Source organism: Homo sapiens, chromosome 18 (genome assembly GCF_000001405.40).
Source record: "Homo sapiens chromosome 18, GRCh38.p14 Primary Assembly".
Lineage (NCBI taxonomy): Eukaryota > Metazoa > Chordata > Mammalia > Primates > Hominidae > Homo > Homo sapiens.
In genome coordinates, this window is record NC_000018.10 from 79,299,276 (window position 1) to 79,313,101 (window position 13,826).

Genomic DNA, 13,826 nt, shown 5'->3' on the forward strand with positions numbered 1-13,826 from the left:
GGGACCTAGAGAGCTCCTCACCCCCTCCTCCCTCTCCAGCCCTTCTCTTGTGTGTGTCTCTTCCATTCACAGGCATTTGTCTTTGCTCCCAGACCCATGTGCGAGCCACATACAGTTCCCTCTTCCTGGAGCGCTTCTCTTGTGGAAACCACTAGTAAATTCATATGCTTCAAGTCACAGGTCAGATGCCACCACTCCTGGGAGCAGTCCCTGCCCCCTCTCTGCAGTCTCCTGTGACTGCACCACATGGACCCTGCATTAGTGCCTCTCAGTAGCATGATCTCTTGCAGCCTCTCTCCCTGTTATGCTGTGGGATTCTTTAGGAAAGGAATCCTCACCCTCCTTGTGTTTGGGGCACTTTGTGCATTGTCTTATTCATTTTTATCCATGCAACATATGAGATGTATTCCGTATTTTACAGGTGAATAAACTGAGGCTTGGAGAGCTTAAATCCACTCTATGAAGTTTTGCAGCCTGCAGGTTACAGCAGGATTTGGACTCCCAAGCTCAATGAGTAGTGATGCATTTTCATGAGTTTTTGCCAAATGAATACACAAATTCTCAGTGGGAATGTGGGAGTCACTGTCTGTTTAGAGAACTGTAGCTCCTGCTGCAGATGGGCAGCTCTCCGGAGCCCTGTGCTGTGCCACGAGGAGCAGCCGTAGGCCGGGCTGTGCAGAGCCTTGTCTCCATCTAAGGAGTGGATGCTTTGATTGGTAAGCAGTGGCGAGGCACGGATGGTCACTAAAAGCAACGTACTAGAATGAGGAGGTGTTTGTCTTCGGAAATAGCACTGCTGGGGAAGGTAGGTTAAAGAATGTTGGAGCTGAGCTCAGGAAGCCACGGAAGAGGCTGCAGTCAGGACGCGTGGTAAGAGGGCAGAGCGAAGGAGCTTCAGGAGGGGGGCACTCCATGTCTGAAGTGGGGTTGAGAGGTTTGAGAGCGTTTGGGAGGTAGTTGAATCCAGAAAGTGAGGAAAGGTTGGTGGTGGTGATGATGGCTGTGGAAGAGTAGCTCTCGTTTATTTAGGACTGACTGGGTCAGGCATGTCACCTGGGTGCCCTCGTGTCATCCTTGGACCACCCTGCAGTGCTTGCAAAGTGAGGAGGCTGAGTGGGAGGTCTTTCCCTTCTCGGTTAAGGTATCCATAGGGAGAGGCCAGCGGGGCCAGACAGGCCCCTTGCAGATGTCTCAGCAGGTGCTGAGGGACAGGGAGGTGCAGGCTGTTGAGGGAGAGGCGAGGCTGGGCTGTGGGTCGCATGTGGGTTGCGGTGAGGACACAAACCCCTTTGTGAGGACACTGAGACTTGAGCCCGGGGCTGCGGGGCCGTGGACAACAGCACCTCACATCCCAGAGGGAGCTCTGCACTTGCAGCTGACTCCACACCCAGGGCCTGTCACAGCCGCCCAGCAAACATACTGAGCAAGGACTGGATGGAAAATGAGATGCTATTTCTTTCTTTAGGGTTCTTTGCATACTTGCACAGTCATTTAAAATCCTAAAGAAGTAATTGTTCGCTCTTGGTAGGAGCTATACAGGTGTTCATTATAATATTCTTTTAACTTTACATATGAAATTGTTCATAATAAAAAAGTTGGGTTAAAAAAGTGGCATTAATCATAGTCCTGTTTACAAACTGCATAGGATTTATGCCTCATTACGATTCCCCACCCTAAATCATCATGCTTCACACTAAGAGAGAAAAGTCTAAAGGAAATACTTTGTTATCTCAATCTGCTAAGTAGAATGTTTTTAACTTAGCACATTTGTTAAATAATTTTTCAGAGAGCTGCTTACTTGGGCACACATAATAGAGGCAAACTTGGTACTTACCCTAATATGAATTAATGTAAGGTTTCATTATCTTTTAACTGTTGGCAGTGATAGAACTACCATTTTTCATCTCACATTTTTGCTATTTAAAGCACTCATAGGCCAGGGGTGGTGGCTCACACCTGTTATCCCAGCACTTTGGGAGGCCAGGGCGGGCAGATCACCTGAGGTCGGGAGTTCCAGACCAGCCTGGCCAACATGGTGAAACCCTGGCTCTACTAAAAATACAAAAATTAGTTGGGTGTGGTGGCGCACATCTGTAATCCCAGCTACTGGGGTGGCTGAGGCAGGAGAATTGCTTGAACCCAGGAGGCAGAGGTTGCAGTGAGCCAAGATAGTGCCACTGCACGACTCCGTCTCAAAAAACAAACAAACAAATGTATGAAGCACAAATGTATAAAGCACTTGTAGAACTTCATGATGGTAGTCAGAGACTGAATTGTTGCTAACTGCATTATTTAATATAGCCTAGTGTTTTATGTTAATTCTACTTATTTAACAAGAGTAGCATGACAAAACAAAAAGGTTTAAACTGCCTCTCATGTAATTTTGATGATTTTGTTTCCACTTAGATTTATGAAACTTGGAGACATCTTTTCAAGGTATACAGAGCACAGCCAGTTTAAAGGTGCTTCATAAAACTTTGTGGAAGCCAAAATCTATAGAACTGAGAAGCATCTCAGGTAGATAGTTAGCTGCTGTTTGGAATTTTTAAAACTTTATTATATTCACTCTTCTAAGAGCATTTATCAAAACAATCTCTAAAATAGTAATTGTAAGCTCTATTTTCCTTGTCTTTGAAAGTAAGCGCTGTGTCCTGATGGAAGGCTCTGAGCCAGCTGACCTCTTGAGTTCTGATCCTAACTGATTCACTTTGTGCTCTAATCCTCACGCACTTAGAGGGTACCATAGACATGAAAATAGTTTGGGTTATATTCCAGTTTGGGTTATATTCCAGTACCATGTGTGCCAAAGAACATAAAAATGAGTGAATATTTTTATGGATATTTTGCAACCATAAAATTGGGTTTTATGGTTTTATTGCAGTCAATTGCAATTTTGTGCAATGAATGGCTGTGTCATTGTTCATACTCAGATTTATAACGTCAGCAGTATCCGTGGATAACCCTTCTTGGATGTGCTGTGAAATAAGTGCAGAAACCTCCCTGCCCCCACCCTCCCCGGGGACAAGGTGAAAGCAGCACGTTGTGAAATAAGTGCACACACCCCCCGGGGACAAGGTGAAAGCACCACGCGTGGCACCACGTTGTGAAATAAGTGCACACACCCCCGGGGACAAGGTGAGAGCACCACGCGTGGCAGCACGTTGTGAAATAAGTGCACACACCCCCGGGGACAAGGTGAAAGCACCACACATCGCAGCACGCTACATACATATCCAGAGGGTATTTGAGCTTCCCTGTGCTACTTTGCTTCTATAAAGCCAAATAAATAAAACATATGCACATGTAATATGTGTATTTTTAGGTTAAATGAGATCTCTTTGTCACCTAATACATGGCCCAACTTTTCTGGCAGTCCTCCTAAGGGAGGACTGTGGTACTTGAGGAGCAGGCATTAGGGAAGCACATTCAGATAGCCCAGTATTTGGAAAACACTAAAGAAAAGCCATCCTATCTTTCACAGACCTCCTGTCTGTCATTCCAAGGGACACACATACATGCTAAGGATTAAACACATCTGGAATATCCATTTCTGTTCAGCTAAAAAGACTTAATTTTTTGAAATAGGTTTTTTTAAAAAATTAATGGACACCCTAATTTGGGGCTTGTTGATGTCTTTCTCAGGCAGTGTTCTATATTGTAATTATAAAGGTGGTGACTCAGTTTTCTAGTTTTATGTCCGCCTCTTTCAGAGCAGGCAAAAGTTGCATTCGTTCCAAATAACAGATCTGAGCTGAAAGGCAATGACGGACTTTCTTCATATAACTAGAGCCCTTCTCATTATTAAACGTTGTTAGAGGCTGCGTGTGCAGTGGCTCACGTCTATAATCAGAACACTTTAGGAGGCCAAGACAGAAGGATCGCTTGAGACCAGGCTGGGCAATGTAGGGAGTCACTGCCTCTACAAAAAACAAAAAAATTAGCTGGGTGTGTTGTCGTGCGCCTGTAGTCCCAGCTATTCGGGAAGCTGAGGCAGGTGGATCACTTGAGCCCAGGAGGTGGAGGCTGCAGTGAGCTGTGATAATGCCACTGCACTCCAGCCTGGGCAACAGAGTGAGACCCAGTCTCCAAAAAAAAACACACAAAAATGTTATAAAGGTACCTTGACATGCTAGGGAGAAAATATCTTGTTCTTCCTATTAAAATGAAAATAGTAGCAAGTAACAATCTTAACGCTACTTTGTATTATACAGTTGGGCATCCCAGCTGCTTCAGCCCATGAATGTGCAGCATGCCTGCATGGTAGGAAAGCTGGGTGTTCCCGCAGGCCTCCTGCATTAATGTGTTTGCTGTTGTCCCCTTTATCCTAGGAACCCTCACCCAGAATGAAATGATATTTAAGCGGCTGCACCTGGGCACCGTGTCCTATGGCGCCGACACGATGGATGAGATCCAGAGCCATGTCAGGGACTCCTACTCACAGGTAAGTGGGTTCCTCCTGCACGGGGTCTGCTTCCACACACATCCCGCGCCATGAGTCCAGCTGAGCCTCGTGTGTTCCCATCTGTAAATTAGCACGCTTCTTGGTGGTCTTAACATCCTGCTACTTCAGTCGTCTGTTCGAATATACGAATCAGGAAATCGTCTTTGATGAGCATTTGTACATGAGTGAAATCGTAGAAGGCATAGTGTGCTGAAGTCATTTATTCATATCACATTTTACTAGTGAGTTATTTGTAAAAAATTATTCAGTAAACATTGTAGTTGAAGAATGTTCAGTAGGATACTACATCAATATGTTTTCTAACAGTTCTGTTTTTCTCTATAATAAAATGTTCTCATATTTTTAAAGGTAAATTCTTTTTTTGCCTTTTCGGTAGATAAAAGTAGACACCATCGTGTTGGGAATCTCGTATCTGTCATTCACCTACCTGTCATCAGTGCCCAGGTGGTGATGTTTCATCTGTAGGTGTTCTTCATTATTATTATATTATGACATGAAGCTCAAATATCACATTCTTTCATCTGTAAATATGTATTATGTGCCCCTAATTGATAAGGACTCTGCCTTTCGTTGGGGCCAAAGCTCCCTAAAGTTCTGAGAACAGGAATTAGAGGTTGAGTATCCCTTATTCAAAATGCTTAGGACCAGAAATATGTTGGATTCTGGATTTTTTTAGATTTGGAATATTTGCATTATCCTTACTGGTTGAACACCTCTAATCGCTTATCTGAACATCCCTTTGAGCATCAATGGCGTTCAAAAAGCTTCAAGTTTTAGAACATTTCCAATTTTAGATTTTTGGATCAGGGATACTCAACCTGTATTTGCTTTTAAAACAGGATTTAGCCTAGAGGCTGTACCACTTGCCAGAGATTTTGCAGGCAGTGGGTTGTGTATAGAGTCTGTCCATGGACCCAAGTCATCCTAACAGCCTCATTCCTGCTGTAGGCACCTCAGAGCCACCACACTGAGCACAGCCCTGGCCCTGAGGAGTGTTTCCTTGTCATTCATTTGCATTTTTTTGTGCCTGTCATAATTTGAAGTCATTGATTCAGTTTGATCAGACCTGGAGATCTGAGAGAATCAATTTAAGAGACTAGCAGACAAGGCTGCAGTGTGCGTCACAAATTTACACCTTCTGAGGCCCTTTTTCTGCCTGTTTGTTGATTTATTCTGAATATAGTGATCCACATAATAATGAGCTAAGGCCTATCAGGTTCAAAATTGTACATAGCTCACCCTGGGGGGTGTGACAGTTCCCAGCGCTGCACGGCACTGCTCCCCGGACTTGCAGAGGCCACCCTTCAAAAGTGTACACAGCCCACCCTGGGAGGTGACAGTTCCCAGCGCTGCATGGCACTGCTGCCCAGACTTGCAGAGGCCACCTGGCGACGTCAGCTGTGGAGTCTAGGAGACTTTTTGTATTTACAGTAATTTGTTTCAAACTTGATTTTCGCAGAGACTAGACTAAATGACACTTTCCCATTGCTGCGTTTCTACTCTTGACAACTCCAGAGTAGCATTCAGTGGTCAGCATTGTATTCAGTTTTTTGAAAACCTTCTCTTTCTTGTATACTTGCTACCAGTCTGGCATAAGCTTTACTGTCGGCATGCTGTCAAATGGAAGAAGTCTCATATGTGTATATATTTAGCATATGGAATGTTTATCCACACACATAAGCAAACAAACATACGTACACAGCCAAACACTTTATTATTTTGGATGTAATTCATTTAGATACGGAATATTTGTAACCTAGGATATTTATTAATAGAAGAAAAATCTTAAAAGGAGAAGGAATACAGTTTCTCCCAGGAATCTATTTCTGCGTTGAAATAGTACCAGATGAGCTCTGCTTTTTAAAAAAAAAAAATTATCTATGAATGTAATTTTAATAGCTTCAAATAAGTTATTAGGAAAAAATTAAAAGCAGAAAAGATGAAGCATCATTATATAAACACAGTAAATGTTTATTGTGCTTCCACCTAAGAGGACTTTTAAAATCATTTTTGCTGAAAGCTTCTGTTAGTTGAACAGACAGTACTTCTTATGTGAAATTGATCTGATTCTCTATCGGTATTCTGTTTTATTACTAAGATGACAGGAGTCTAGTAGGTCCACTGCCGTGCAACACAGATCTTTTATAACCTGATTGTATTTCCCCACTGGAGGCATTTGGTGATAGAGGGCATAATCTTTCATGGAATTTGTGTGAAATTAAATTGTACAAGCATCACTAAACATCACGTAGTTTGGAAGGAGGGAGCCAGCTGAGTTTGCTGTCTCGCAGCAGCGTGAGCAGGCGCAGATGGGCTGGGTCCTCACTGAAAGGCAGCACCAGCTGAGCAGAAAGTTAAACCCTTCATTAGACAGCACTGTAATTTGATGGGCAGGAGATTCACAGTTCATTGGATCTGTTCACCCAGTCCAAGCGTGAGAGCCTTGGTTTCCAAGGAGGATTGTCATGAGTTACTCCGAAGTTAACTGAAGAAACGTTTGACATCCTGTTGGGGTTGGGGGGAGTGTCCTCTGACACCCTCCGCCACGTAGGAGGTGAATAATAAAAAGTTATTGCTTTGGTGGTGCCGATGAAATCTCTGAAACATGGCTGAGCCCGAGGAGAGCCAGGCACACACATAAGCCCTAAATGGGGACTTGCTTTAAGAGAGCAGGATTCTGAGATATGACACGGGGCCATTTTTCCTCTGAATGCAACTTAGGATTGTATTTGGTTGTTATTATCCACAAAACTAGACTGTCTAAACTCAGAGACTACTGAGAGCAGGATTAATTTATGGTATTAAGGGAAGATTCTTAAAGATTTTGTCCTGCTTTTAGCTTTGTACAACATTATTTAAAGAAAGCTGAAAGCAGTTGTGAGTATACCATTTCATTTTGTTCTTTAATTGACTCTGCTTTTAGAAGTCATGAATAAATAGGAGTTAAGGACATAGCAAATTAGTGCCATTGTTGAAGTGAATACAGTAAAAATAAATTGTCAGATTTTTAAGTAGTATAGTGAATATTTTGGTGTATTTGACAACCTGGATATATCGAAGTGCTTCATAGTACTAGGCTTAAAAAAATAACTCATTAATCAGTGCTTTATAGGAGATAATCAGAATCAAATCAGGCTACTTATTTCTAGCTACTTTGCTTGTAAAAATCATATATGTTAATAATTCCATGTTAACTAGATAGTTCTCTTTGCTCTATCTTTAATTATGTGACGTTTCATATTCTAAAGATGCAGTCTCAAGCTGGTGGAAACAATACTGGTTCAACTCCACTAAGAAAAGCCCAATCTTCAGCTCCCAAAGTTAGGAAAAGTGTCAGTAGTCGAATCCATGAAGCCGTGAAAGCCATCGTGCTGTGTCACAACGTGACCCCCGTGTATGAGTCTCGGGCCGGCGTTACTGAGGAGACTGAGTTCGCAGAGGCTGACCAAGACTTCAGTGATGAGAATCGCACCTACCAGGCTTCCAGCCCGGATGAGGTCAGTCAAAGCACAAAACCGTGGGAGCTTGTCCGTTCCATTTGGACTCCAGAGTCATGAGGATTCATTCTTTCTGGGATGGGGAATATAGAGGAGCAGTTTATCGTAGCTTTAATGTATGTTTTAGCTGTATGTGGAAAACTGCCCAACCTATTCCAGCATGTAGCCTCTGACGTAGCCTGGGCCTTGCACATGCAAATGTGCGGCCGCCACATCTCGGCACATCCCAGAACACCCAGGGCTGGTCACAGGGAACAGCATGAGAAATACCAGCGAGGTTTACTGATTCCGTAAAGTAATTTGTGTCAAAGCTGCATTTTATAAAACTGTTGAAGTTTGGGACTGTCCTTATGGCTATGGATTCCGTGTCCAAATTGAATCATCTGGTTTCCATATTAAATTTCCACATATTTTGCCAGATTTTCAATACAGGGCATTTATTTCAAAAGAAAATTGGAATGTAAATAATTTCCAAAACCTACAGAAATGGTAAGATCTTAAACATGGTAAATTAGTTATTTCTAACTTTACATCACTCTTTGATTTTTAGATCGGGAAAATTCATTATTAAATTTGTTTAATTAATGTCTTAGTATATTTTATATACAGTTTTGTGTACACTTTGTCCCTTTAAGGTCCTTGAGGTAGTTCTGTAAAGTAATCAAGCCAACCACAGAAGCACTATAAACCAACTAGTGTCTTCCGATACTTTGTAAAACTGTGTCATATACATAAATAATTGGTGGGGGCAGGGCGTACCTTCAGTGAAAACAAAAAGAAAAAAATCAGATCTAATGTTTTAAAGAGAGGAGTCTGGTGGTTCTGGTTGACGAGTTTATTACAAAAGAGCGCCATCATCCCCCTCCATAATGGAATAGAATCTCAGCCAAGAGACAAGACGCAACTTCACACCCACCAGGATAACAGGAATCAAAAAGACAGACCATAGCAAGGACTGAGAGGTTGCAGAGGAACTGGAACCTGCATGCACTGTGGGTGGGATTGGAACAGGGTGCAGCCACTCTAGAGAACAGTCTAAGCGTTCCTGAAAAAATTGAACATGGAATTACCATATGCCCCGCCCGAGAGACATGAGAACAAAGACCCGTATGTTAATGTTCACAGCAGTGTTAGAGCCGGGAAGTGGAGGCAGTCCAAATGTCTATCAGCTATCAAACAAGAAATAAAATGTAGTCTGTTCGCACACATGGAGCATCATACAGTCACAAATGGCAGGAAGGAGCCACGTCTATGATGGCATCGAGGCACCTTTGAAACCTTTTGCTCAGTGGAAGAAGGCAGGTGCAGAAGGCAACCTGCATGCCTGTGTGATTCCATTGCCATGACATTTCCAGAGCAGACAGACCCATGGAGACAGAGAGCAGAGCAGCAGGTACCAGGGTCTGAGGAGTGATCCCCAGTAGGTAGAAGGTCAGGGGTGGTGGAGTGATCCCCAGCAGGTAGAAGGTCAGGGGTGGTGGAGTGATCCCCAGCAGGTAGAAGGTCAGGGGCTGAGGAGTGATCCCCAGCAGGTAGAAGGTCAGGGGCTGAGGAGTGATCCCCAGCAGGTAGAAGGTCAGAGGCTGAGGAGTGATCCCCAGCAGGTAGAAGGTCAGGGGCTGAGGAGTGATCCCCAGCAGGTAGAAGGTCAGGGGCTGAGGAGTGATCCCCAGCAGGTAGAAGGTCAGGGGTGGAGGAGTGATCCCCAGCAGGTAGAAGGTCAGGGGCTGAGGAGTGATCCCCAGCAGGTAGAAGGTCAGGGGTGGAGGAGTGATCCCCAGCAGGTAGAAGGTCAGGGGCTGAGGAGTGATCCCCAGCAGGTAGAAGGTCAGGGGTGGTGGAGTGATCCCCAGCAGGTAGAAGGTCAGGGGTGGTGGAGTGATCCCCAGCAGGTAGAAGGTCAGGGGCTGAGGAGTGATCCCCAGCAGGTAGAAGGTCAGGGGCTGAGGAGTGATCCCCAGCAGGTAGAAGGTCAGAGGCTGAGGAGTGATCCCCAGCAGGTAGAAGGTCAGGGGCGGAGGAGTGATCCCCAGCAGGTAGAAGGTCAGGGGCTGAGGAGTGATCCCCAGCAGGTAGAAGGTCAGGGGCTGAGGACTGATCCCCAGCAGGTAGAAGGTCAGGGGCTGAGGAGTGATCCCCAGCAGGTAGAAGGTCAGGGGCGGAGGAGTGATCCCCAGCAGGTAGAAGGTCAGGGGTGGAGGAGTGATCCCCAGCAGGTAGAAGGTCAGGGGTTGAGGAGTGATCCCCAGCAGGTAGAAGGTCAGGGGTGGAGGAGTGATCTCCAGCAGGTAGAAGGTCAGGGGTGGTGGAGTGATCCCCAGCAGGTAGAAGGTCAGGGGCTGAGGAGTGATCCCCAGCAGGTAGAAGGTCAGGGGCTGAGGAGTGATCCCCAGCAGGTAGAAGGTCAGGGGCTGAGGACTGATCCCCAGCAGGTAGAAGGTCAGGGGCGGAGGAGTGATCCCCAGCAGGTAGAAGGTTTCTCTTAGGGGATGAAAATGTTTTGAAATAGATTATCGTGTTGGTTACGCAACTCTGTGAATATGCTGAAATTAATTCAATTGTACATTGTAAATGGGTGAATAGTGTCTCCATAAAGCTATTTAAACAAAAGAAGATGCAAAGTGAGTGTAGGTTCCATGACTATTGAATGAGTAGAAAATTAAGATTCTTCACAAAGACAAAGCAAATTCATAGGTTAAAAAACTAAAATCTTAGAAAGTGTTAGGAATACTGATTCAATTTCTGAAAGTATGGGTATGAAAGCTGCTCAATTCTAATTCCACAGACAGTGGAAATATGAGCCTAAAACCCCACTGTTGCTGATCAGCATGTGGGCCAGACAGACAGGGAGGCATGTGGAGAAGAGGCAGGAAGAAGGGTGGAGAGGCATGAGAGAGCCTCTTTCCCTGGTGATAATACATCTTGCAGCAGAGACTCAAGTCCTTGCTGTGGAAGGGTGAGAATAGGGACAGACCGTAGCCGCCATGAGGAGGCGGAGCTGGCGTGTGTGCGCCTCATCATGCACAGTACGGGGCTTGCAGCACTGGGAAGGGCATCACCGTTTTGCTGATTAAAATTAAGAAGTCAGAATATACAACTATGCGTTCAGAATGTTTGGAAAATTGCCTTATGAGTAATAACTAGAACAGATTTGTAGCCCAAAGAAGACAGAACAGAATAAATAAATGTGTGTTGATAATTGAGGAGGAGCTATGCTGGCTGCAGAGCTGACCAAGGGTGGCAAGCAACTTTTACTTTAAAATTGCCTGAAAGCAGGAGTCTCTTGTCTAGGCTTCTAGAAGCAGAAGAATTCTACCACTTTATGGCTCAGGAACAACCAGTAATGTCATTCATCTTTTTTTCCTTGAGAGTTGGCTGTGACCGTGTCCTGACAAGGCACAAACTTCCAGGATCATGGGACTAGATCTCGTGTCCTGAAGGCACTTCTCATGTCTGTGTGCAGATGTGGGAACCACTTTCCTGGGGAAGGAAAGATATACACAGAAGCAAGTGGTTTTTAAACTTGTCTGTACATCAGGCAGACTTCCAGGGGTTTTTTTTTGTTTCCTTTTTAAAAATACTTATCTTTTTATATATGCACGCTAGCACCCCCATTACAGAAATGCTGGGCTGGGGCCAGGCATGGTGGGTCATGCCTGTCATCCCAGCACTTTGGGAGGCTAAGCTGAGCGGATCACCTGAGGTCAGGAGTTTGAGGCCAGCCTGGCCAACATGGCGAAACCCCGTCTCTACCAAAAATATAAAAAATTAGCCAGGTGTGGTGGCAGGCTCCTGTAATCCCAGCTACTTGGAAGACTGAGACAGGAGAATTGCTTGAACCCAGGAGGCGGAGGTTGCAGTGAGCCAGGATCACGCCACTGCACTCCAGCCTGGGCGACAGAGCAAGACTCAGTCTCAAAAAAAAGAAAAGAAATGCTGGGCTGGGGCTGGACATTTCTCCATTTTGAAAATCTAAAAGGTTACACCCCACAATTGAGAACCACTGTATTTTATATATCTTTCCTTTTGACTTACTTTTAGGACTTGAGGCGAATGCTGAAGTTTGATAAACGGGTGAATGTGAGGATGTGAGGCCCTCCTCCACCAATATTTTAAGTTTTCTGTACACTTTTCGTGGTGGTGACTCTCAGTGGGCTCAGCTGAGGTTGTCCAGGGGACAGATATAAACATCCCCTGATACGGTGACCTCAGGAACAAGAAAGCCTAAATGTGCCAGCAGATTCATGGTATTCGACAAAGTATAAGCCACGGCTAGACTTCAAGGAAAACAAGCTTGCTTATTTAAAACTTTAGTTACATAGGCATTTTTCTTTTTGTTGTTTAGTCAAGATACTAACTTACTCTAACCAAAATATACTAATTTAGCAATTATGACACGTCATTAGCCATGTAAGAACCTAAAGGATGGTGAAAAAGTAGCCAAAACGATGAAAGTGGTTTTTTTAAACATGGGAAGTTGAGAACATGGATCACTCATCTCCCCTCAGACTCTGCGGATCACAGGTTGGCTTTCCGTCTTTCTCTACAGTCCGTCGCCTTCCTATCTCCAGATAAGTATCAGGGATGCCACCGTGATGGGACAGCCCTGCATCGCAGCCAGTACACGTTCCTCTCTGTCACCATCACCGGAGCTTCTGTGTTTCATTGAGCCTTTCGTGAGAATCTCTGTCCCCGGTGTGGCTGGGCGCACTTGCACGCAGCCATGCAGCCTTCCCTCGTGGCAGGCTTTTGCTGTCAAACCCGTAATGCCTTCTGTTCCCGAGACCTCTCTGAGTAACTCCGTGTGCCTGCCGCCTTCCCTCCAGTCATTCCCATGCACAGCGTTGAGACCGGTCTGCTCACGCGCCTTCGCCGAGGTGCCTTCACAAAGGTGCCTTCGCGGAGGTGCTGGTCTTGGCTTCCCTGCTTGGGTTCAACCAGTGCCCCATCCAAATGCTCTTCCGGCCACATCAGTAATTCATGATGGTGGGTACATGTGGATTGGGTGGTGCCTTCTATGGACTGGCATAAACGGATCATTTACTTTTTCCTAAATGCAGTTATATTACTGTGTGAAATTTCTGTAGTCACTCCGTTACTTTTATAATTATTCAGAGCATTTTGTTCAGCAAGGCTGCGCCAAGCTTGTATGGAGCTGCATCCTGGCACTCGCTCGTTTGCTTCTTCTGTGCTCTTCCCTAGCCTGACATCCCTTGGCTGCCCTCACCCCAGACCAGGGGTCCCCAGCTGCCCATTGGCACGCGGGACTCCCATGTGTCTTCTGGGTGGGCATCCCTCTCCGTGTTTTCGCAGGTTCTGAGTAGCAGGCTTTATCTTCCTTACGCCACATCTGCCTTCTTTTCAGGGGCTCACAAGCGTCGCCTGCTGAGCGAACCTTGGCTGTGTGGGAAGATGGTGCGGGGAGCTACTGGTCAAGTGGGAGGAGGGGAGTAAAACACATCTGTAGGAATATTGGTCCTTAAAACTATATTAGTGGAAGTTTAAGTAGGAGCTAGTTTCCTATAGTTTAGCAAGGCCATGTCCCAAAGTTTAGATGGTATTTGCCTTTTTGGTACAATGTGAAATTACGATAAAGAACTTAAGTTCCTTCTTGTGAATCACATTGTCACTTCCCTCTTTTCAGAAAGTAATTGGCAAAGTCTCTGAAAATTGGGATCAGTTGAAGTATTAGATTTCAGAAAAGCTCCAGAATACAATGTCGTCATCGTATAGAGTTTTTCAACTTTGAGGAAATGTGGAAACCCAAGCTCCACTCTTCCCACTCCCTGTCAGCGCGCTGTTGGCTACACCTTTCTGTCAGTGGGCACGATTGTTAAGCTTCCTTTAGCCATCAGCCCTGTTACAGT

The 13,826-nt window shown here is 45.1% G+C and overlaps 1 protein-coding gene across 37 annotated transcripts in view, besides 1 other annotated feature; it reads left to right on the forward strand.

Moving 5' to 3' along the window:
• Window positions 1-13,826, forward strand: part of ATP9B (ATPase phospholipid transporting 9B (putative)) — a 308,890-nt gene that overhangs the window by 229,882 nt on the left and 65,182 nt on the right. For all 37 annotated transcript variants that reach the window (NR_148360.2, XM_017025726.2, XM_011525963.3 and 34 more), the window contains 2 exons: window positions 4,329-4,441; window positions 7,711-7,959. Coding sequence is in view for 36 of the 37 variants with exons in the window: in XM_017025726.2 (XP_016881215.1) it covers window positions 4,329-4,441; window positions 7,711-7,959 (362 nt within the window). In the remaining variant the exon portion in view is untranslated. The remainder of the gene's footprint in view (window positions 1-4,328; window positions 4,442-7,710; window positions 7,960-13,826) is intronic.
• Window positions 9,667-10,167: an enhancer, noted in NCBI's record as "H3K27ac hESC enhancer chr18:77068942-77069442 (GRCh37/hg19 assembly coordinates)". NCBI's record gives its function as "activates a minimal SCP1, AML or CMV promoter by ChIP-STARR-seq in naive H9 embryonic stem cells {active_cell/tissue: H9 hESC(naive)}" and the evidence as "EXISTENCE:reporter gene assay evidence [ECO:0000049][PMID:30033119]".